The sequence below is a fragment of the Homo sapiens genome, chromosome 3, assembly GCF_000001405.40.
Source record: "Homo sapiens chromosome 3, GRCh38.p14 Primary Assembly".
Taxonomy (NCBI): Eukaryota; Metazoa; Chordata; class Mammalia; order Primates; family Hominidae; genus Homo; species Homo sapiens.
This window is the reverse complement of record NC_000003.12, coordinates 174,250,982-174,276,373: the sequence shown is the minus strand read 5'-3', so window position 1 is coordinate 174,276,373 and position 25,392 is coordinate 174,250,982. Positions and strand designations below refer to the sequence as shown.

General features: G+C 35.8%; 1 protein-coding gene across 36 annotated transcripts in view, besides 2 other annotated features; it reads right to left on the bottom strand.

Moving 5' to 3' along the window:
• NLGN1 (neuroligin 1) overlaps window positions 1–25,392 on the bottom strand; it is an 898,421-nt gene that overhangs the window by 17,999 nt on the left and 855,030 nt on the right. For 24 of the 36 annotated variants that reach the window (XM_017005893.2, NM_001365924.2, NM_001365923.2 and 21 more), the window contains one exon: window positions 847–1,059. In XM_017005893.2, coding sequence (XP_016861382.1) covers window positions 847–1,059 — 213 coding nt within the window. The remainder of the gene's footprint in view (window positions 1–846; window positions 1,060–25,392) is intronic. The other 12 variants (XM_047447706.1, NM_001365936.2, XM_047447712.1 and 9 more) reach the window with 1 other exon arrangement.
• Window positions 10,376–10,914: an enhancer, noted in NCBI's record as "H3K4me1 hESC enhancer chr3:173983250-173983788 (GRCh37/hg19 assembly coordinates)". NCBI's record gives its function as "activates a minimal SCP1, AML or CMV promoter by ChIP-STARR-seq in primed H9 embryonic stem cells {active_cell/tissue: H9 hESC(primed)}" and the evidence as "EXISTENCE:reporter gene assay evidence [ECO:0000049][PMID:30033119]".
• Window positions 10,915–11,454: an enhancer, noted in NCBI's record as "H3K4me1 hESC enhancer chr3:173982710-173983249 (GRCh37/hg19 assembly coordinates)". NCBI's record gives its function as "activates a minimal SCP1, AML or CMV promoter by ChIP-STARR-seq in naive and primed H9 embryonic stem cells {active_cell/tissue: H9 hESC(naive and primed)}" and the evidence as "EXISTENCE:reporter gene assay evidence [ECO:0000049][PMID:30033119]".

Genomic DNA, 25,392 nt, shown 5'->3' with positions numbered 1-25,392 from the left:
ACTCTTCTGTTCTTGTGAAATTTCAAATTAATAATGCAGTTGGAATGGGTGATTCTATGCATGGTAAAATGGAGATGGAGTTCATAAAGAACAACATGGTAAGCCTTGGACAGACAGGCACTTGGGAAAAAATATGTCAAAGCCAGAAAATGGAAACGAGAAAAATATTTCATGGATTTCAGCAGCCTCAATACTCCATGCTGCCTTGCCAAGTTTAGGGGGAAAAATAATGCTTTTGGAGTTAAAAATAGAAAAAACACTGAATCAAATGTATTTTTCTTTTTAATCAAAAGCTCTACCAGTGACCTTGATGCTTTGACAATTTTGGATCATGCATGCGAAATAATCAACAATCCATTCTGTACTCAGACAACAAGTGAAATCACATGTTTTCAGACAAACTAGCTTATGACCGCTTCGTTAGCTTCATACTAATAAAGGGTTTAAAATGTCTATTGTCTTGAAAATAGATTATATACAATCCCTGCATGTAAAAAGTCTCATCTTTGATTTTGATCACTGAATAAACAAAGATGACAAAACTGTAGAACGTCTTTGTCTGATTTTTTCTTCAAATCACCCTTTAAAGGAAAGAAGAGTAACTGTAATGCTAACTATTCTGAAGTGTGCTTGAAAGGGCATCCTTACCAAGCTCCACAGGAGACAAAGAAAAGAGTTTGACGAAAATTTAAACATGCACAGAAAAACTGAAGAAACAAAGCTTTAAACTATTGAGTTCAACCTAACACTCAGTTTGAACAGAGAAATATACAGAGCATCACATACTACTGATGGTGGTGGCATGCAGACACCAAAATTGTCAAAATTTGCAACCTTGCATAATACCTTTGGTTGAATTGCTCCAACGGTTACCTTCAGAATAATGGGATAAAGTCAGCAGGTTGACACATGAACCCCCAGCACCAGATCCAAAAACAGTGATTCTTAAGGGGTCACCACCAAAGAATCCAATGTTTTCACTAGTCCATCTTAAAGCTTGTATGAGATCAAGGAGTCCATAGTTCCCCTTTGCAGCCTGATCGCCTGTACTCAAGAAACCTGAAAAATATAAATTTAGAAAACACGTTTTGAGCTGACGTGAATCAAATAGACATCAAATTTAAACACAAATGAAGCCTGTATTAATCAAGGTAGGGACAGTCCAAGTTCATTAGTAAAAATTATTTTCCACTATAACAAAAGAATTTACTTTAGCAAGAATAGTTAGTAGTGGCTGAAATCTGAAAAATGACATTTATCTTCCCCAAATGCCTCCCAACTTATCCAGGTAACAGATAACAGGGACAGATAAAGGGAAGGCAAACATTCTGAAAACCTCAGGGAAGACATTCCAGGGGCCAAGCTACTCAGTGGAGACATTTGGATAGTATCATAGGGTTCATGTGAACGTGTATCTTGCAGAAAACACCATGTCTGTCCTCAAGTTGCTTGTCGTCAAATGTGGTTGGAATGTTAGGTATGTATGTGTGGCAGAATGGCAGGATGGACATGTGTAGAGCAGGCGGGTATTTCTGTAAGACTTGTAGAGAAAGATTTTGTAAACTCCATGAAATTATATAGAACTCTGCATATATATGAATATGTACATTTTTATCAATGATGATCAATGATTAAGAAAGAATTACTGTGTCAGAGATGACTTGAGGCCACATTTAGGACTACTTTAAATGCCAAACTGAGGGGAGCTACTCAATTAATTAGGAAATGGTGTAGAATAATTGAAGGTTTTTGAAAAGTTCAGACATATATTTCTGGAATGCTCAAAGCTCTGCTTTGTAGTAAATCTGAAAATGAGTAGGAAAATGAGGTGAATCTGAAAATGAGGGGGAGAGAAAACGGAGGTAGGGGAGAGAGTTTAAGGATCTGAACTGACAGAATGGCAAAGGCAATTGAAAAAAAGATGATGGATAGAAAAAATATTGTGGCATTAAGATCTGAGTAACTGTTTTACATATGAAAGTTGTAGAAGGGAGAGTCAAACATATTACTTAGCAATATCTTAAACATATTCACTCATTTAGCTGACCTGATAGCTTTTATAGTTAGTTAGTGTGTTTATTATAACTTGTAAAACAAACATCTATTCTCTAATATATTTTTGCATTTAATATAAATGAAAATTTAGAAAGTGTTTCATAAAATACTCCATCTTATGGACTATTTTATATTATGTAGAAAATATTTAGAGTCCTATTAGATATAAATTGATTATATTAAGGGATATAATTTCCAATTTCAACAAGTTTATAGAACTAATTTTTAAAAATTCATTCTCTCTTATTGGAGACTTATAGAAATTCAACATAATGGGTCAATGATTGTGATAACAACTATTTTATTCAATTTGAAATATATCTCTTTATAAAATAAGCTAGGACATCGATTACATTTATGAAAACAAAACCATGATAACACTACCTATCAGGTTAGCAAATAAATCCATAACCAAACTGAATATATGGATAAGAAATTCTCTAGGATCATTGTAGAAAAGAATAGATGAAGACAAATTCTCCTGAATAATTTTGAAAAATTTGAAGAAATGAAAGTGCTTAGTTATTCTTTTCCTACAAGATCAAAAATTCTAAGAAATAAAACTGCAGCTCTAACTCATTGTGTGTGTGTGTCTGTGTTTGTGGAATCCTGAAAATGTTAACTTTCCTTAAGACTAAAGTTGTAAAAAATACAGTTCAAATAAACAAATTTTTCTGGTCATACCCATTCTCTTTGAATTTGCATAATAATTTAAGGAAATTTTTATGGTATCTTCTTAGATAGAAGTATTTGCAAATACTCAATATTCATATAAATTAGAGGATAATAAAATACAAAATAGAAGCATGGCAGGAATTCTTTTAACTCTATTTGCTATCACATGAACTTTGGTATAAGACAGAGTCATTAGTTTAAACTTCTGAAAGATTCTCTTACAAATGTTTTGGTCTATAAAGACAGACTATTGGCATGAACTCTGAAAACAATATTATGGAAGCATTACTGTACATTAGATAGAAAAACTCTTGAAGGAAAAAGGATATGTGCGTGTGAGAGAGAGAGAGAGTGAATGAAAGAATAAGAACATAATACTCTTGTTATGAGGTTGGTGCAAAAGTAATTGCAGTTACATTCAAATTACTCCAGTTACATTCAAATGAATCTTTACATCCATACAGAATTCACTTACTCATAAAATAATCATCATTCAATGTGTAGCATGTAGAGAACCACGGTATCAGACAATTATTTCTACATTAACTAAATTGTATCCCCACTGTAATTCCAGTTATAGATGCACTCTTTAGTCAAATAGCTTTGTGTTTATATAACAACAGTGCTGTAAAAAAAAAAAAAGTTCCTCTGAAAAGTAACTTCTACTTTATATACAGTCTAAAGAAGTCTTGTAATATATTCAAGAAAGAGTTTTAAAGAAAATAAATTCAGTTCAAAAATGTCATTATTAAACCACAGCATAGAAAGTAGAGTAAATCATTGGGTAGAAGTTATTGTGCTGTAGCCTCAAAACGTCCAAGATTACTCAGTCAAGCTCCATTTTTGCCCTTCAGCACTGAATTTCTCTTACTCCTGATTCTAGTGTATTTCATGTGTATGTTATCTATCATCTATCTATCTTTCTATCTATCTATATCTATCTATCTATCTATCTATCTATCTATCTATCTATCTATCCATCCATCCATCCATCCATATCATCATCTGAAACTAACTGATCATTAGAGTGAATTTAGAGGACGACGCTGGGTTTTATATTAGGAAAAACTGATAGCAGCTGTCTTTATTAAGGCCAACTGACCAAGCAAATAACATGTCTTCAGACCTGGTAGAGAGATATATACTTGCATACACTTTTTGATTACTGACGGTATATTCAAACAACATCCTGTGGGTAAGTTAAAGGCACAAAATGAGGAAAGTTAAATAAATTGCTGTCTCAAAAGAGATACAGTTTGCTAATTACTCAAGTGATGTACATTGACAGCATTCTATACCTTGCTATCTAGTGAAGTAGTCATTTAAAGTTCTTTTTAAATTGACTTAGCTGTTATGTCCTTAACAGCACAACCATTTCAGATCACCCTAGCCGAAACTTTACATTGAAGTGCTCAACTATAGTCCAGTCATTGGGGGAACTCAATTTTGCAGAGTCCTCACTTCATGATTACTTTGGAGAAGAAGGCTTTTCCTTTAATGTCACTTAAATCATTCTTAACAGATAGTCACTATTTTATCTCACTTTTCTTGACACTCATTTTAAGTTCCTGGGATGTGTGACTAATTATTATTGTAACACATTGACATATTATTATTTTTGTAAAATAGAACAATAATGACTATAAAGCGAACTCTTTTCCTTTTCAGAAAAATGCACAAAATTTTCCCCCCAAAAATTCAACTACTTAATTTACTTGACTCAGGAATGTAAAACTTTAACAATTAGTAATTTTAGAGTTAAGGCTAACTCTCAAAATTCATAATTGCAATTATGCTAAAAATTATTTGACTGATTCACGTGTCTATTACAATTGTCATTCACCTATTTGTCCAAATAGAATTTATTTAATACCAGTCTTCCCACTTAAAAACTCAGTCTATCATCAAAAAACATGTCCATTTGTGGTTCCTACATGGAACTACTAGTTGATTACATCTACTGAGCAGGCTTAGCTTGAATTTTCTGTTTACCTGATCTGGCAACTAGAGTTAGTCTCAAGTGCTAGAGAGAAACCAGGTAATTGAACATGGGTGCATAGGCTCTTGGAATGGAAAAATAACCAGGCCTGAAATAAACCGGACAAGGGGAAAATAAATAAAAACAGATAATTACTGTGATCAAGGTATGGGCTTGGGCTACTGTTGTATATGGAACTCAGATAACTCTCTGACAGGCAGACCCTAAGGAGTGTGAAAGGAGCTAATTTAAATTGTCAGGCAGTAGCCCTGCGGTTTATTGGTTGACTCAATTTATACTTAGGTCTCTTACAATACAATCAAACAAGCATGTACAAATATCTTTAGAATGTTAAAAAAAAAAATGCAGACTGTTTACATTTGAGATGACATCTAGAATGTCAGAAATTTAAGATGACAGTGATTCTGTACTGTAGCTGTGCTTCCTTCTTTTTTAAGGTAGGAGCATATTTGAGTGCCTATGTTTATAGTTGTTAATTTCTAGAAACACTGAATAGAATACAATATTCTTTTTAGTCCACATTATGTAGCTCAAGCTATAAGGTAGAAAAGAAATTTGCAGTGTTTATCAATGCTGTTGCCTGGATACAGATGACTGTGGTTTGTTCTTTGAGTCACATTGCTAAGTATTTCAAAATAGAGACCATACTGAGTATTAAAGAGCCAGCCTTGCAGACATGAGACTCTGAATGATAGTGAGACGTCCTTCTAGGGACTTGGGAATATGGATCGGAAAAATAGCTCATTAAGGACTTTGCATCTTAAACATAAAAGGATTTAAAACTGTGGAAATAAAACCTTGAATTCTTCCAGGTAAAAATCCAACTCGAAATCCTATGTGCTAACTCTCCTTATCTTTTCAGTTGCCATGTTCAGTCATGTCTTCCTCTGCATTCTGCCTCTGTCTCCTGCTTTAAACTTCATGTCACGGACTTATTCCAGGTCCTCCTCTTTTCTTCTTAGACCCTTGAAATCATCATTCTAATTAGTCAATTAACCTCCAAACTTTCAGCAAGCAAGTATCCCTTCTATCTGTCACTACTCACCTATGAAAAATATTCTCTTCTAATGGGGTGACATGGCTATACAGAAATAAAATCCTCATGCTAGAATATGATTAGTTTCTCTTTATTTCTGTTTGATTCAAAATTGTTTAAAATATAATGTATTTAAATCCTCACAATTAGGCATATATGGCCAAATGATTCTTGACAAAGGTGCCAAGACTATGCAATGGCAAAAGAACAGTTTCTTCAACAAATGATGCTGGGAAAACTGGATATCCAGATATAGAACAATGAAGTTGGACTCTTAGCATACACCATATAAAAATTAACTCAAAATGAAAAAACCCAAAACTATTAAACTCCTAAAATAAAATATAGATTAAGAATTTCAGGAAATTCGATGTGGCAATGATTTCTTGGATATTAAACCAAAAGCACAGGAAAAAAAAAAAAATAAACAAATAAGACTACATCAAACTTCAAAACATCTGCACATCAAAAAAAAAAAAAAAAGAAAGGAAACCAACAGAATGGGAGAAAACAATTGCAAATTATATATTTGATAAAGTATTAATATCCAGAAATTTTTACAACTAAACAACAACAACAAAAAACCCAAATAACCTAATTAAAAAATGGGCAAAGCACTTAAATAGATATTTCTTCAAAGAGATGATATACAAATGGACAATAAACACATGAAAAGATATTCAACATCACTAATCATTAAAAAATGCAAATCAAACCCACACTGTGATATCCCCTCACACCCACAGGATGACTACTATCAATCACAAAATAGGAAAGGATGTAGAAGATTTGCAACCCTTGTTTTGGTGGGAATGTAAAACATGTAACCCTTATCAAAAATAGTTTGGAGATTCCTCAAAAAATTAAACATAGGATTAGTATATGATTCAGCATCGTTCTTCTGGGTATATATACAAAAGAATTCAAAGCAGGATCCCAATGAGAAATTTGCAAGTCCATGTTCATCTAAGTACTATTTATAATAGCCAAGAGGAAGCAACCCAAGTGTTCATTGACAGATCAATGTATAAAGAAAATACAGATAAAGAAAATATACATATGATGGAATATTGTGTAGCTTTAAAAAAGAAGCAAATCTTGTTACATGCTACAACATGGATGAGCCTCTGAAGACAATGTGCTATGTGAAATAAGCCAGTCACAAAAAAAGCAAATACTGTAGGATTCTACTCATATGAAATATCTAAAGTAGTCACAATCATAGAAACAGATATTAGAAAGGTGGTTACCAAGAGCTGTGGAGAAAGGGGAAGGGGGAATTAGTATTTAATGAGTATAGAGTTTCAGTGTTGTATGAAAAAGTTCTAGAGATCTGTTGCTAAACAATGTGAATATACTTAATATATTAATACAGTTACTGAACAGTATATGTAAAAATGGTAATAATGATAAATTTAATGTTAAATTTTTTTACTATAATAATAAAAAAATTCTCCAAATTGGACAACTTGTGTTCTGTGTGAGGGTAAAGCACACACACACAGCATTTAATTATTCACCATATATAGCTGGCTTCCTTGCTATTGGGTTCCCTTGAAGGTTACTGTCTAAATTCTTCTTAGAAAGCAATGAAGGATAAAGTAAAAATATTTTCCTTTTTATGTGTATCCTTTGGAAAAAAAAAAACCTGGCTCTGAAATGAGGTTAATATCTTAACATCAAACAACTTGATGGTATTTCCAAAATTTTATGTTTTGGTGAATCTATTTATCAATTTGTTCTAAGACAATTTGCTCTTTAATGACTTGTCTCAGAAATAACACACTGTGTTGCTGGTCATGGCTTCTGATTACCGACAGCTGGACACGGGGGAGTACAGTGGGAAAGAAGAAGATGACTGTAAATAGATGCCTGGAAAGAAAACACCTATAGCTATTTCTTTGGTTTGCAGTTTCCAAATTCCAAACTTTCACCATCTACAAGGTAAAGAGGTGAGATTGTTCCTTCTATGTTACACTCAATGTTAACATCTTGTAACTCTTTCCCCCAAATAAGACCGAAGTATTTATTTTAACCAAATTTCTTCCCAATTTAGGTTGTAATGGTTAGAAAAAAGGGCCCTAATTTACTTAGCTCTGAATCATGAATACCATTCCCATTTCAAGAATGCCCCAAGATACTAGGGAGAAAGTAACCCCCAGCTCCAGTCCCCATCACCAACCACATATTCTTCACCACAATTTAAGGCTGTTAGCGTTTTCTGGGCCTGCATCTTAAGAAAAGTTTATCCAGCACTCCCTGATTTAGGCTATTGTGTACTTCCTGTCTATATGCATCTGGACAACAAACCTGGTATTCAAAGTTCACGAAGTTCCTGTGCAGTTTGAATAACTGCTTTCACAAAGAAGTGAAAAAAGAAGAATATCTCTTCTAAAAGGCCTTTTGAATCAAAGGAAATCATATTCTTCATTTCTAATTGCTTTGATTGTGCGGGAATATGTCTTGTGATTTAAAGACATAGTGCACTTCGAAGCATGACATTGAAGAAACGACAATGTCTATCATATAAGAAAGGTCCTCAGGAACTATATACTTCAGAATTATACTATGTAGCTTCAGGAACAATAAAAACTATACAAATTTTGCAATTTTCTAACTGTTCAATATTTATTTTTATCTCTCTTAAGTGTTCCCATTGTAAACTATGTGTGTGTGTGCTTTGTAATGTACTATTTATGTAATTCATATTCCATTTTTTTCTGGACTAGAAGCTCTATCCACTGTAATTGTCCCCAGATAGTCATTATATACATGTTTGCTGAATAAAGGACAGCATTAATGTTATAATTTTCTATTAACACATGAAGACTAATAATTAAACTTTTCAAATGAAAGAGGTCTATGTGTCTTTCTTAGATGGCAGCAATGAAGTGAGAACTTAGGAAAAATCCCTCTCAGCAGCCAATCTTGAGGGAAAGTACTCTAAGATGCAGTGTGGGTAGCATTAGTTTTGAAGAGAGGAAAATAGGACAATCCTGGGTGGGGCTTATCCGAGATGAGATAAGAGGACATGTGGCCCAGTAGGCTATCCCAGAATACTGGTCTAGAATACAGGCCAAGGTCCTAAAGTTTGAGAGACTCTTGAGATTCCCCCAACATTTAGTGTGGTAAAAAGACAGCCAGTCTTAGGATAACCAGGATGTTAGTATAGTTTGGATATCTGTTTCCTCCCAATCTCAGGTTGAAAATTGATCCCCAGTGTAGGAGGTGGGGCCTATTAGGAGGAGTTTGGGTCATGGAAGCAGATCCTTCATGAATGGCTTGTTCCACTCCTCATATGACACAATGGTTCCTCTTTGCCTCCCACCATGAGTGGAAGCCAGAGGCTCTCACCAGAAGTAGATGCTGCTGTGATGTTTCTTGTACAGAACTGCAGAACCATGAGCCAAATAAATCTTTTTGCTTTATAAATTATCCAGCCTTACGTATTCCTTTATAGCGACACAAACAGACTAACACAGGTTTGTGAGCAAATTACTGTGTCAATTAGTTAGTCCCTCTGAGTTTTGGTTTCCTAATAGACAATATCAGTAATAGTACCCACCCCATAAAATTATCATTATTAGAAGAGATAATGTTTTTAGTATGCAGGGGGCTTAATATATGTTGTATAAAAATACTGTGGCTATAATCAACTAACAAATTTGACGTTTTCTTTATTGTCACCTATTTCATTAAGTAGAATAAACCACTTATCCATTTTTACTGAAAAAAATGAAGTCAAGAAGAATTAAAAGAAAAAAGTTTTTAAAAATTACAAAAAGTTAAATATTTATAATATACAAAATAGGGTTAAATTTACCACATTTTTAAACTATTCCATGGAAAAGAGTTGGCAAAGCATCTCAAAATACATATGTTCAAAAAATAACATGCTGGCAAGGTTGTGAATCACAAGGAATGCTTATACACTACTTGTGGAATGATATTAGTTCAGCTACTGTAGAAAGCAGTTTAGAGATTTCTTGAAGAACTTAAAATAGAAATACCGTTTGACCTAGCAATCCCACTACCGGGTATATACTCAAAGGAATATAAATAGTTTTGCCATGAAGACACATACACATGTATGTTCATTGCAGCACTATTCACAATAGCAAAGACATGGAATCAACATAGATACCCATCAGTGGTGGATTGGATAAAGAAAATGTCGTACATATGCACTGTGGAAATATATGCAGCCATAAAAAAGAACAAAATCATGACTTTTGCAGCAACGTGGATGGAGCTTGAAGCCATTATCCTACGCAAATTAACACAAGAGCAGAAAACAGAATACTGCATCTTCTCACCTGTAAGTGGAGGTTAAATATTGAATACACATGGACACAAAGAAGGGAACTATAGACACCAGGGCCTACTTCAGGGTGGAGGCTAGGGGGAGGGTGAAGATTGAAAAAACTATCAGATACTATGTTCATTACCTTGCTCACAAAATAATCTGTACATTAAACCCCCTTGACATGCAATTTACCCATGTAACAAACCTGCACATATAGCCACTGCACCTAAAATAAAAGTTGGAAAGAAAAAAAAAATATATATATATATACACACACACACATATATATGCACTGAGGGCAATATATATATACATATATACATATATATACTTATACACATATATACACATACACATATATACATATATACACATATATACATATATACATATATACACATATATACATATATACGTATATATATATTATAACAAAATACTCTTTACCTAAAACTAAGAGGACAACATATATATATAGATGTTGTATAAAAATACTTTGGCTATATATATATATATATACATATATATATATATATATAGCCTTCTTAGTTTTAGGTAGAGTAAGAGTATTTTGTTATACAATAAACAAATTTAAGGAATTCGGAAAAAAGATGGCCGGATAGGAACAGCTCCGGTCTACAGCTCCCAGCATGAGTGATGCAGAAGACGGGTGATTTCTGCATTTCCATCTGAGGTACCGGGTTCATCTCACTAGGGAGTGCCAGACAGTGGGCGCAGGTCAGTGGGTGCGCGCACCGTGTGCGAGCCGAAACAGGGCGAGGCATTGCCTCACTTGGGAAGCGCAAGGCGTCAGGGAGTTCCCTTTCCGAGTCAAAGAAAGGGGTGACGGACGCACCTGGAAAATCGGGTCACTCCCATCCGAATATTGTGCTTTTCGGACCGGCTTAAAAAACGGCGCACCACAAGATTACATCCCGCACCTGGCTCGGAGGGTCCTACGCCCACGGAGTCTCACTGATTGCTAGCACAGCAGTCTGAGATCAAACTGCAAGGCGGCAGCGAGGCTGGGGGAGTGGCGCCCGCCATTGCCCAGGCTTGCTTAGGTAAACAAAGCAGCTGGGAAGCTCGAACTAGGTGGAGCCCACCACAGCTCAAGGAGGCCTGCCTGCCTCTGTAGGCTCCACCTCTGGGGGCAGGGCACAGACAAACAAAAAGACAGCAATAACCTCTGCAGACTTAAATGTCCCTGTCTGACAGCTTTGAAGAGAGCAGTGGTTCTCCCAGCACGCAGCTGGAGATCTGAGAACGGGCAGACTGCCTCAAGTGGGTCCCTGACCCCTGACCCCCGAGCAGCCTAAATGGGAGGCACCCCCCAGCAGGGGCACACTGACACCTCACACAGCAGGGTATTCCAACAGACCTGCAGCTGAGGGTCCTCTCTGTTAGAAGGAAAACTAACAAACAGAAAGGACATCCACACCAAAAACCCATCTGTACATCACCATCATCAAAGACCAAAAGTAGATAAAACCACAAAGATGGGGAACAAACAGAACAGAAAAACTGGAAACTCTAAAAATCAGAGCGCCTCTCCTCCTCCAAAGGAACGCAGCTCCTCACCAGCAACGGAACAAAGCTGGACGGAGAATGACTTTGACGAGCTGAGGGGAGAAGGCTTCAGACGATCAAATTACTCTGAGCTGCGGGAGGACATTCAAACCAAAGGCAAAGAAGTTGAAAACTTTGAAAAAAATTTAGAAGAATGTATAACTAGAATAACCAATACAGAGAAGTGCTTAAAGGAGCTGATGGAGCTGAAAACCAAGGCTTGAGAACTACGTGAAGAATGCAGAAGCCTCAGGAGCCGATGCGATCAACTAGAAGAAAGGGTATCAGCGATGGAAGATGAAATGAATGAAATGAAGCGAGAAGGGAAGTTTAGAGAAAAAAGAATAAAAAGAAATGAGCAAAGCCTCCAAGAAATATGGGACTATGTGAAAAGACCAAATCTACGTCTGATTGGTGTACCTGAAAGTGATGGGGAGAATGGAACCAAGTTGGAAAACACTCTGCAGGATATTATCCAGGAGAACTTCCCAATCTAGCAAGGCAGGCCAACGTTCAGATTCAGGAAATACAGAGAACGCCACAAAGATACTCCTCGAGAAGAGCAACTCCAAGACACATAATTGTCAGATTCACCAAAGTTGAAATGAAGGAAAAAATGTTAAGGGCAGCCAGAGAGAAAGGTCGGGTTACCCTCAAAGGGAAGCCCATCAGACTAACAGCGGATCTCTCGGCAGAAACCCTACAAGCCAGAAGAGAGTGGGGGCCAATATTCAACATTCTTAAAAAAAAGACTTTTCAACCCAGAATTTCATATCCAGCCAAACTAAGCTTCATAAGTGAAGGAGAAATAAAATACTTTACAGACAAGCAAATGCTGAGAGATTTTGTCACCACCAGGCCTGCCCTAAAAGAGCTCCTGAAGGAAGCGCTAAACATGGAAAGGAACAACCGGTACCAGCCGCTGCAAAATCAAGCCAAAATGTAAAGACCATCAAGACTAGGAAGAAACTGCGTCAACTAACAAGCAAAATCACCAGCTAACATCATAATGACAGGATCAAATTCACACATAACAATATTAACTTTAAATGTAAATGGGCTAAATGCTCCAATTAAAAGACACAGACTGGCAAATTGGATAAAGAGTCAAGACCCATCAGTGTGCTGTATTCAGGAATCCCATCTCACGTGCAGAGACACACATAGGCTCAATATAAAAGGATGGAGGAAGATCTACCAAGCAAATGGAAAACAAAAAAAGGCAGGGGTTGCAATCCTAGTCTCTGATAAAACAGACTTTAAACCAACAAAGATCAAAAGAGACAAAGAAGGCCATTACATAATGGTAAAGGGATCAATTCAATAAGAAGAGCTAACTATCCTAAATATATATGCACCCAATACAGGAGCACCCAGATTCATAAAGCAAGTCCTGAGTGACCTACAAAGAGACTTAGACTCCCACACATTAATAATGGGAGACTTTAACACCCCACTGTCAACATTAGACAGATCAACGAGACAGAAAGTCAACAAGGATACCCAGGAATTGAACTCAGCTCTGCACCAAGCGGACCTAATAGATATCTACAGAACTCCCTCCCAAATCAACAGAATATACATTTTTTTCAGCACCACACCACACCTATTCCAAAATTGACCACATACTTGGAAGTAAAGCTCTCCTCAGCAAATGTAAAAGAACAGACATTATAACAAACTATCTCTCAGACCACAGTGCAATCAAACTAGAACTCAGGATTAAGAATCTCACTCAAAGCCGCTCAACTACATGGAAACTGAACAACCTGCTCCTGAATGACTACTGGGTACATAACGAAATGAAGGCAGAAATAAAGATGTTCTTTGAAACCAACGAGAACAAAGACACAACATACCAGAATCTCTGGGACGCATTCAAAGCAGTGTGTAGAGGGAAATTTATAGCACTAAATGCCCACAAGAGAAAGCAGGAAAGATCCAAAATTGACACCCTAACATCACAATTAAAAGAACTAGAAAAGCAAGAGCAAACACATTCAAAAGCTAGCAGAAGGCAAGAAATAACTAAAATCAGAGCAGAACTGAAGGAAATAGAGACACAAAAAACCCTTCAACAAATTAATGAATCCAGGAGCTGGTTTTTGAAAGGATCAACAAAATTGATAGACCGCTAGCAAGACTAATAAAGAAAAAAAGAGAGAAGAATCAAATAGACACAATAAAAAATGATAAAGGGGATATCACCACCGATCCCACAGAAATACAAACTACCATCAGAGAATACTACAAACACCTCTATGCAAATAAACTAGAAAATCTAGAAGAAATGGATACATTCCTTGACACATACACTCTCCCAAGACTAAACCAGGAAGAAGTTGAATCTCTGAATAGACCAATAACAGGAGCTGAAATTGTGGCAATAATCAATAGTTTACCAACCAAAAAGAGTCCAGGACCAGATGGATTCACAGCCGAATTCTACCAGAGGTACAAGGAGGAACTGGTACCATTCCTTCTGAAACTATTCCAATCAATAGAAAAAGAGGGAATCCTCCCTAACTCATTTTATGAGGCCAGCATCATTCTGATATCAAAGCCAGGCAGAGACACAACCAAAAAAAGAGAATTTTAGACCAATATCCTTGATGAACATTGATGCAAAAATCCTCAATAAAATACTGGCAAAACGAATCCAGCAGCACATCAAAAAGCTTATCCACCATGATCAAGTGGGCTTCATCCCTGGGATGCAAGGCTGGTTCAATATACGCAAATCAGTAAATGTAATCCAGCATATAAACAGAGCCAAAGACAAAAACCACATGATTATCTCAATAGATGCAGAAAAAGCCTTTGACAAAATTCAACAACGCTTCACGCTAAAAACTCTCAATAAATTAGGTATTGATGGGACGTATTTCAAAATAATAAGAGCTATCTATGACAACCCCACAGCCAATATCATACTGAATGGGCAAAAACTGGAAGCATTCCCTTTGAAAACTGGCACAAGACAGGGATGCCCTCTCTCACCACTCCTATTCAATAGTGTTGGAAGTTCTGGCCAGGGCAATTAGGCAGGAGAAGGAAATAAAGGGTATTCAATTAGGAAAAGAGGAAGTCAAATTGTCCCTGTTTGCAGACGACATGATTGTATATCTAGAAAACCCCATTGTCTCAGCCCAAAATCTCCTTAAGCTGATAAGCAACTTCAGCAAAGTCTCAGGATACAAAATCAATGTACAAAAATCACAAGCATTCTTATACACCAAAAACAGACAAACAGAGAGCCAAATCATGAGTGAACTCCCATTCACAATTGCTTCCAAGAGAATAAAATACCTAGGAATCCAACTTACAAGGGATGTGAAGGACCTCTTCAAGGAGAACTACAAACCACTGCTCAAGGAAATAAAAGAGGATACAAACAAATGGAAGAACATTCCATGCTCATGGGTAGGAAGAATCAATATCGTGAAAATGGCCATACTGCCCAAGGTAATTTACAGATTCAATGCCATCCCCATAAAGCTACCAATGACTTTCTTCACAGAATTGGAAAAAACTACTTTAAAGTTCATATGGAACCAAAAAAGAGCCTGCATCGCCAAGGCAATCCTAAGCCAAAAGAACAAAGCTGGAGGCATCACACTACCTGACTTCAAACTGTACTACAAGGCTACAGTAACGAAAACAGCATGGTACTGGTACCAAAACAGAGATATAGATCAATGGAACAGAACAGAGCCCTAAGAAATAACACCGCATATCTACAACTATCTGATCTTTGACAAACCTGAGAAAAACAAGCAATGGGGAAAGGATTCCCTGTTTAATAAATGGTGCTGGGAAAACTGGCTAGCCATATGTAGAAAGCTGAAACTGGATCCCTTCCTTACACCTTATACAAAAATCAATTCAAGATGGATTAAAGACTTAAACGTTAGACCTAAAACCATAAAAACCCTAGAAGAAAACCTAGGCATTACCATTCAGGACATAAGCATGGGCAAGGACTTCATGTCCAAAACACCAAAAGCAATGGCAACAAAAGCCAAAATTGACAAATGGGATCTAATTAAACTAAAGAGCTTCTGCACACAAAAGAAACTACCATCAGAGTGAACAGGCAACCTACAAAATGGGAGAAAATTTTCACAACCTACTCATCTGACAAAGGGCTAATATCCAGAATCTACAATGAACTCAAACAAATTTACAAGAAAAAAACAAACAACCCCATCAAAAAGTGGGTGAAGGTCATGAACAGACACTTCTCAAAAGAAGACATTTATGCAGCCAAAAAACACATGAAAAAATGCTCATCGTCACTGGCCATCAGAGAAATGCAAATCAAAACCACAATGAGATACCATCTCACACCAGTTAGAATGGCAATCATTAAAAAGTCAGGAAACAACAGGTGCTGGAGAGGATGTGGAGAAATAGGAACACTTTTACACTGTTGGTGGGACTGTAAACTAGTTCAAACATTGTGGAAGTCAGTGTGGCGATTCCTCAGGGATCTAGAACTAGAAATACCATTTGACCCAGCCATCCCATTACTGGGTATATACCCAAAGGACTATAAATCATGCTGCTATAAAGACACATGCACACGTATGTTTATTGCGGCATTATTCACAATAGCAAAAACTTGGAACCAACCCCAATGTCCAACAATGATAGACTGGATTAAGAAAATGTGGCACATATACACCATGGAATACTATGCAGCCATAAAAGATGATGAGTTCTTGTCCTTTGTAGGGACATGGATGAAATTGGAAATCATCATTCTCAGTAAACTATCACAAGAACAAAAAACCAAACACCGTATATTCTCACTCATAGGTGGGAATTGAAGAATGAGATCACATGGACACAGGAAGGGGAATATTACACTCTGGGGACTGTGGTGGGGTGGGGGGAGGGGGGAGGGATAGCATTGGGAGATATACCTAATGCTAGATGACGATTTAGTGGGTGCAGCGCACCAGCATGGCACATGTATACATATGTAACTAACCTGCACAATGTGCACATGTACCCTAAAACCTAAAGTATAATTAAAAAAAAAAGGAATTCTACTAAGGGTAAGAAACATGTTTGTATTCACTGTAGGTAGTTTCTTAGAATTGAAACCAAACATTTAATTGTATTGTAATAAAAACAGTTTTGTAAGCCAAAATACTATGATGATGATGAAATAGAGGACATTGTGTCTTGATTTGCTGGCAATTCATTACTTTAGAATAGATTTTTTTTAATTGCTAATACACATAATTGATGTAATTCTTAGGCTATCGAAAAAAGAGAGTAGAAAAAAAAAGCCATCTCCTCCAAAAAAAGTGTGAGGGTGAGGGAGAATGAGGGAGAGAGAGAGAGCAAGAGAGAGAGGTGATGTGTGAGAAATCTGATCATCATAAAAGAGGTAGCAAGGATTAACTGAAAATAGCTGGGTCTGAGTGGGAAAGAGGGATGCTATGGTCTTTAATTCCACACTAGCTGATCCCTGAGACAGACACAAATAATAAAAAGAGAAATATATAAGATAAGGTCTGGGTAATGTATAAAAATGACAAGATAATTTAGCAAGAATGTTGGCTAGACTAGATTATTTTCCATATTTTATTTCTAATATCTTAAGATTTTTTGAGAGGATAAATGTCCCCCTAATGAATGACTAGGAAAACCTGGTATTTATTACATGCTGATAATATTATAATCTTCTCAATTAAAAGCTATTCTGACTGATTTAGTGATTTTAAAACTTTTCAATACTTTCAGTATTACAGAAACATTTAAAAAATGGTGGAAAGAGCTACTGTCTAAACTTCAACCATATCTTCAACATAATACCTTTTACTCTCCCCTCTTCCACCCTCTCCTTCCTTCCTTTTCCTCCCTTCCCTTTCTTTTCTCTCCCTCTCCTATCAAACCTGAACTCACATGTTGAATTTAGTTTTCTATTTAGTCCTTTTAACTTTGAACAGTTCGTTGGTCTTTATTTTTCTTGACTTTGACATTTTTTGAGGAATATAGGTCTGTTATTGCATATAATGTCTCTCAATTAGGGTTTATCTGATGTTTCTTCATAATTATATTCAGGTTACAGATTTCTGGTAAAAGATTAGTGAAGAAATGTTGTATCATCTCCATGCACTGCAACAGGAGGCACATGATGTTGCTTTGCCCATTGACCGTTTGGTTAGGGTGGTAATTTTGCCATTACTCCATTAGAAAGTTACTATTTTCCCTTTGCATGGGGTAAGTATAAAGTATATAGATACATTGAAACTATGAACATTTTCTTTTTCATCACTTTTACACACTAATCTTAACGTCTGTTGATGATCTTTAAGAAAATTTAATGTTATCATTTGTTTTATTATTAGTTGGAATTGGCTGTTAAAAAAGCTTTTTCTTCTTTTCAACTTTTATTCACTTATTCATTTGTTTATACCATTATGGACTCGTGGGTTCTTATTTTATTTCAGTGGTTATAATCTTTTACTGCCATATTTTGATGCTACAATTGTCCCACATATGGCTAATGGGAGCCCCTCAAAGCTGGTTCCTATGTCATTTTGACATGTACCCATTACCTTTGAACACATCTTTTCTTTGGCACAATAAATACAGCAATTTTACAAGAAACCTCTAACTAGTAGTTAGGGGACTTTGGCTTTCCTTTATTTGTCTAGTTAAAATTTTTGAATGGTCTTCTCATATATAATTCCTAAATATTTAGTAATTATCAAATTAATTAAATTTACAAAAAATTTAATGAATGTGAATTAAAATTACAAAAGGTAATTATAAAAATTACTATTTTTCGAACTTTATATATATATATATATAAGGAGATATAAAGTTGCTGCGCAGATCATCCCAGGATCAATACTTTGTATCCTTCAATCCAATCAAGTTGACACTCAGTATTAACCATCACACATGCGTTTTGATTTTTGCATATGAAAATTATTTAAAAATTCTAGTAATTACAGGAAACAGAAGCTGAATAAATATATATATATATATATTCCACTAGTTCTGTCCCTCTAGACAACTCTGATTAATACAACATGTATTTGACACAGGAAACCAAACAAACGCATTAGTTGTTGAGGGTAATGGCTCCCAGATCCATCCTGTCCTGCAAAGGACATAACTCATTCCTTTTATTGGCTGCATAGTATTCCATGGCCTATATGTACCCCCATTTTCTTTATCCAGTCTATCTTTGATGGGCACTTTGGTTGATTTCATGTCTTTGCTATTTGCGAATAGTGCTGCAAGGAACATATGTGTGCATGTACCTTTATAATAGGACAATTAATATTCCTTTGGATATATACCCAGTAATGGGATTGTTGGGTCACATGGTATTTCTGCCTCTAGGTTTTTGAGGAATTGCCACATTCTCTTTCACAATTATTAAACTAATTTACACTCCCATCGACAGTGTAAAAGCATTCTTTTTTCTTCACAACCTCACCAGCCTCTGTTGTTTTTTGACTTTTTAATAATAGCCATTCTGACTGATGTGAGATGGTATCTCATTGCGATTTTGATTTGCATTTCTCTAATGACCAGTGATGATGAGCTTTTTTATATATGTTTGTTGGCTGCATTTATGTCTTCTTTTGAGAAGTGCCTGTTCATGTCTTTTGCCTACTTTTTAATGAGGTAGTTTTTTCTTATAAATTGGTTTAAGTTCCTTAGAGATGTTGGATATTAGACCTTTGTCAGATGGATAGATTCCAAACATTTTCTTCCATTTGATAGATTGTCTGTTTTCTCTGTTGATAATTTCTTTACTGTGCAGAATCTCTTTAGTTTAATTAGATCCCATTTGTCAATTTTCGCTTTTTTAGTAATTGCTTTTGGTGTCTTCGTCATGAAATCTTTGCCTGTGCCTATGTCCTGAATCGTATTACCTAGGTTTTCTTCTAGGGTTTCTACAGTTTTGGGTTTTACATTTAAGTCTTTAATCCATCTTGAATTGACTTTTGCATATGAAAATTATTTAAAAATTCTAGTAATTACAGGAAACAGAAACTGAAGCTTATTCCTAAGTTTTGGAGTATAGGGGTATTTCATTTCCAAAAAAGAGGCATAAAATGGGGTAAAACCACAATCTAGAACAGTACTAAATAATCTCACATACGTTGCACATAGAAGTACCAACACACCGCCACACACACACAAACACACATGCACACACCAAATAAAAATTGAAAGCACTCATGTCTATAATTCATCCTAGCTAAAAAATATTATTAATGGCTTAAATTTCATAGATTATGGAAACAGCATGGTAATATGAGTTATGTAGATTATGTCACTAGAAAAAATAAAGATAATGAGCAGGGCAAGGAATCAGCTTTCTTTGAACATTTCAAATATTGTCTGAGAAGTGGGACAGCATTTTGGAGAGATGTAGAGAAGATGATTAAGCAACCAATCTCTGGATTTACTTCCATTGGCGCTCTTGACAAGTTGTCACTGGGTGTATTGGCCTATGTCCCCTGAATAAACAGAGTATATCTTTGTGTTCCTGACACCTAGCTTAATTTCCATGGAATAAATATTTCATGAAATAATAAATAAATAACAAATGAATGAACTTCCTGATAGGACTTCTATTACTATACTCTCTTGCCTGATGGAGCATGTAACTTAATGAACTTGGCCTTTGACTTATCACGATACTCTGGGAATGGGAGAACATTAACATACACTATGCTCAATACATTTAAAACTTCCTTTATAATTTTTTAATAAAAATTTTCTGTTGAAGAAGGCCAGGAGCAGTGGCTCACGCCTGTAATCTCAACACTTGGGGAGGGCGAGGTGGGCGGATCACTTGAGCCCAGGAGTTTGAGACCAGCCTGGGTAACATGGCAAAACATCGTCTATATAAAAACTGCAAAAATTAGCTGGGCATGGCGGTACATGATTGTAGTTCCAGCTACTTAGGAGGCTGAAATGGGGGGATCATTTGAGCCCAGGAATCAGAGGTTGCACTAAGCCGAGATCACACTATTGCACTCCGGCCTGGGCGACAGAGTGAGACCCTATCTCAAAAATAAATAAATAAATAAATAAATAAATAAATAAATAGAAGAAAAGAAAGAAAGAGAAAAAGACTTAGTTCTATAATAACCTAAATATTCTCTTTAAATCTCAAAATTGATCAAAATATTCTAGTCTTTGCAGTCAGAAGGAGTTTGGCTGATTTTATCACTGTCACTCTCATTCACAGATTCCTCTCTGCAAAGTACCACTGCTCTTTGACTTGCGCTTTTTTTTTTTTTTTTTTTTTGAGACAGAGTCTTGCTCTATCGCCTAGGCTGGAGTGCAGTGGCACGATCTCGGCTCACTGCAAGCTCCGCCTCCCAGGTTCATGGCCTTCTCCTGCCTCAGCCTCCTGAGTAACTGGGACTACAAGGTGCCCGCCACCACGCCCGGCTAATTTTTTGTATTTTTAGTAGAGATGGGGCTTCACCGTGTTAGCCAGCATGGTCTCGATCTCCTGACCTTGTGGTCCGCCCACCTCGGCCTCCCAATCTTTGACTTATTTAAATGGTCAACTCCTTCTGTCTCTAAGGTTTCGCTTAAACGTTTTTTGGGAGTACTTCAAACATAGCTATCCTACCTTCCTCTAAACACCCAGTTTAATCTAGACGTTCATTTGTAGCTGTGTACCAACACTGAGTTGGAAATTTGTTTAACACCATCCCTATATCTGGCAAAGTGCCACACATATAGTAGGTGTATCATAAATACTTATGAAGTTAAAGGTGGCTATTTCTAAGCACCTTTGATTCTGGAAAAAAAGTAGTTAAAATATATATAACAAGGGAGAATTAGTTAATGATTTCTTTTTATGCATAGCCTAAATACAAATATAGTTAGACTACACTGTGTTTACAAAAACTAGAAATGAATATGTGAGGCCTGTTTTATATAACTTTATTGATTTTTCTTGCAGTTAAAAATGCTGATTTTATCTAGATTTTATCCTTATATTTCTAAAGGAAAGGAAAAACTGGACCCAATTTTTTTTGTATTGGTAGACACAATGGTAGATTGTATCTACCATTCCTGACATTACGTAGATAAAATCACTATGGAAAACCTAAATATCGATAAGATTAACTAAGTGAAGGTAATATGTTTATTTTCATCTAACACAATTATCCATGATTATGGGCATAATAATTAGACTCAAAGGTGACAACCAAGAATGGTGTAAGTATTCTACAACAAATGATCTAGAAACACAGGTAGAGAGAAAAGTCTCAAGTTAGATGCAATGAAAGCTATAGAAGAAAGAAAATTACACTAAGCTACTTTTCAATAATCAGGTCTCTGATAAAACTTGAAAGATAATTCAAGTTTCTCACTATCCCAAACTTTAAATTACAAAAAAAAAAAAAAAAAAAAAAAAATTAAAAAGGACTTTTCCTAAGAAATCACAATCAGTACTTTTTAAGAGACAAGTTTGCGAACCCTATATTAGGGCCATATGGTATGTATTTTGGTGCATCTGGTAAGTGCGCATAAATGCACTAAAACAAGGAACTGAAATATCCTGAGGCAAACTCCTGATTCCAGCAGCCAGTGTAGCAGTATCAGCAGCTAGCCTCAAGGAATCTTGTTTACCAACGCCAAGGGGATATATGATAGTTCTGAGTTAGCTGTTTACAATTAATCCACCTAATATTGAAAATTGGAATAATTTTTGGCTTTTGGATTCCACTCAAATTTAAGCAACATGGTGATATTGGCTTCCGCAATCCTCTGGAGGTACTGTCTGAAGCCCCCAATCTATTGCTGTGTTAGCCAGTGAAGGCTCACCAAGGAGAAAATTATTCATGTAACTTGGCCTTCAGTTAGAGAAATTTTTCAAAAGTTTTCCTAGGGTTGGAATTACTACAGCAGCTAATATGGATCTTCAGCTCAGAGGGTCATGGAATGCTGTTCAGCAGAGAAGGAAATATTAAAACAAGTAGAAGGTCAATTTAGAAGAGGCAGTGATCTGAATCTCCCCCAGGGTGCCCTCACATTAAGCTCAGATTTGTAATTGAAAATAAATCTTTCATGTCCGGGTGACAAGTCTGAGGTCCTGTTCTGGGTGCAGTTTTCACTAAGCATTATATTTTCCTGCTTGAAGTCACTGTCCTTTTCAGCTGATTTGACCTGTAATGCCACAGTTGGATGTTGGCTGCCAAGTGATTAGCTATTCAAGAAAAAAAGTGAAACTAATCTCTGTATTAATATACATGAGGTGAAATGAGAGGGAATCTGAGACCGGAAGGCACAGAGACTGATATTACAAGCTATGCAGTGAGGCATACTCTCCCAGATACAGTAGCACAATCAAACCCGAGAGGAAGGGTGACATTTGGCAGAGATGGTGCAAGAGACAGATGCTGTGGGTTGAAGTGATGGCTTGATTTTCCAGCACTTTACTGTAAAGAGTGAGTCCTTTTTCAGAATAAAAAGAGCATATTGTTATTATGCCACTTACAAAAAGTATACAAGTACAGAATTCATTTTTTTTTCTTTTACATTGAAGATTGGAGGGGAGCTATGTTGAAAAAAAGAAATAATTTTAAAACATTTGCTAATTTTACAAAGCACTTCTACATCAATTTGTAGCTACTGAGCAACCTAGACTATTTTCCCTCTGTTAGAAATAAGCCCTCGTTCTCTTAGAGAATCAGATAATGATGAAAATCCATTAATATCATGAACATAAAGGAATCTTTTAATGAAAAATAGTTCATTAAATCAACATTTGTTGGCCATCTATTCTTTGCCAGACACTCTGCTAGTTACTCAATTTATAGTTTTAATAAGACATGTCTCCTGTTCTCTCTTTTGCACCTTCCTGCAATCTCACCGTGGAGACAGTATGTGGAAAATGATGCTTTGGAGCCTATGTACTGAATCAGAGTTTCTGGAGAGGGGCTTAGAATCTCTGGGGTGGAATCTGCTGTCTTATCAAATTCCCAGGTGATTTTGATGTATCCTAAAATTTGAGAACTCTGATGTCTTAAAGATAAAGAATGTAAAGAATTCCAACAAAAATATTAGGGCTGGAAGAGCCTTCAGTAACTAGTGTGACCATATAATTTTTCAAATGAGAAAACTGAGGATCAGAGAGGGAATGTAAATTGCCTGATATCACATAGCTGGTTAGGACCCTAGTTTTTCTGTTTTCTAGTCCAGTGCTAGTCAAGGAAAAAAAAATAGGTTGTGGATTTCTTTACTCAAACAACTCACTATATTGTGTATGTTCCCTTTCTTTTTTGCTTTACTAGTAAACTATTTCTAGATAACAATATTTTGTTATAATATGAATTTTATACATTTCCTCTCCTTTTCGCTTTACTAATCTACTATTTTTATGTAATGGTGTTTTTTGTTATAGAAACATGATGGCAAAAATCTAGTAATTGAAACTACCTACTCTGTTGCCCTTTCCTCCAGACTACATTTTATCCACACTTAACTATTTTAGACAAGTAGGGGTATTTTTCCAGGCAAAAATCCGTTTCTTTATGATAAGAAATGAATATGTGAGGCCTGTTTTATATACCTTTATTAATTTTTCTTACAGTTAAAAATGCTGATTTTATCTAGAAATTATCCTTATATTTCTAAAGGAAAGGAAAAACTGGGTTTTAAAATGTGGGCCAATAAAATGCTTATTCTTGCCTTTAAAATTCTATCTACCTTGAGAAAAAAAGGTTTTGTTATAAACTAATTTTATTATTCTCTTTGTCAGGAAACTTTTTCCAGAGCTGAAATATCTACGTAGCTTAAGCCAGTTTTCTTTTTTTTCTGCACTCAGAAAAGATGGAAAACATCTGGCAGGTTCCTCTGGCAGGATATTCAAAGAAAATACTTTCTTTACTCTTCAGGCAAAGCAATCTAATTCTTTTTTTGTCTGTGTTGCATGGAACTAGTCTCCAACTTTTATGTAAGTGTATAAATACATAATGTAGATGGATATTTGTTGATCAGAGCCAAATTATAGTAGCTTAATTTGCAATTTATTTAAATAAAGTTAATTGTAACAAAATCAATGTTATAAATTCTACAGAAAATAATGTGCTCTTTAGGGTTTTTACCTGTTATCCATGCCAAAAGAAATATCATCATGCAACAAGCTAACTTTTTTTCCAAGCTTATCTAAGAGGAAAGGCCTGCTGGTATATTGCAATTGTCCAGCTTTGCCCAGGTGCCATAAGGTAGCCCATGTAACAGGGCTACCTCCTGGTTGAGGAGATTGTAATGGCACAAGACAGTCTGCCTCCAGGAGGTATGTTTTTCTAATTTGCACAAAGTTACTTTATGAATTAGCGGCAGCTCACCAAAAGGTCTACAACAAGCTCTGGCCAGGTGTTCAGCTTTAGATTTGAACGTAAACAGGCTTAGACTTTTTTTCCTAAATATTAAGGAAGGCTATCCAACCATTTCTTACAAAGAATTTTCTTACATCATTACTCATGATACATTGTGAACTGAAAATCCAATAATAAATAAACATTATTTGAAAAATGTTCATTTTGTATTAACCATTTCTGTGAATATTTTACAGTTATAAATATAGCATTTTCCTATTTTTGTACATAGTTTCCTTTTGGTTTTTAAAATTAGAGTTGATTGATCTTGCTGTGATGGAAGATGGATTCCACCAGAGCACATGTGATGCACTGACTGATAAAAAATGATCAGCACCAGTTATAGGTGCACGTTTGACAA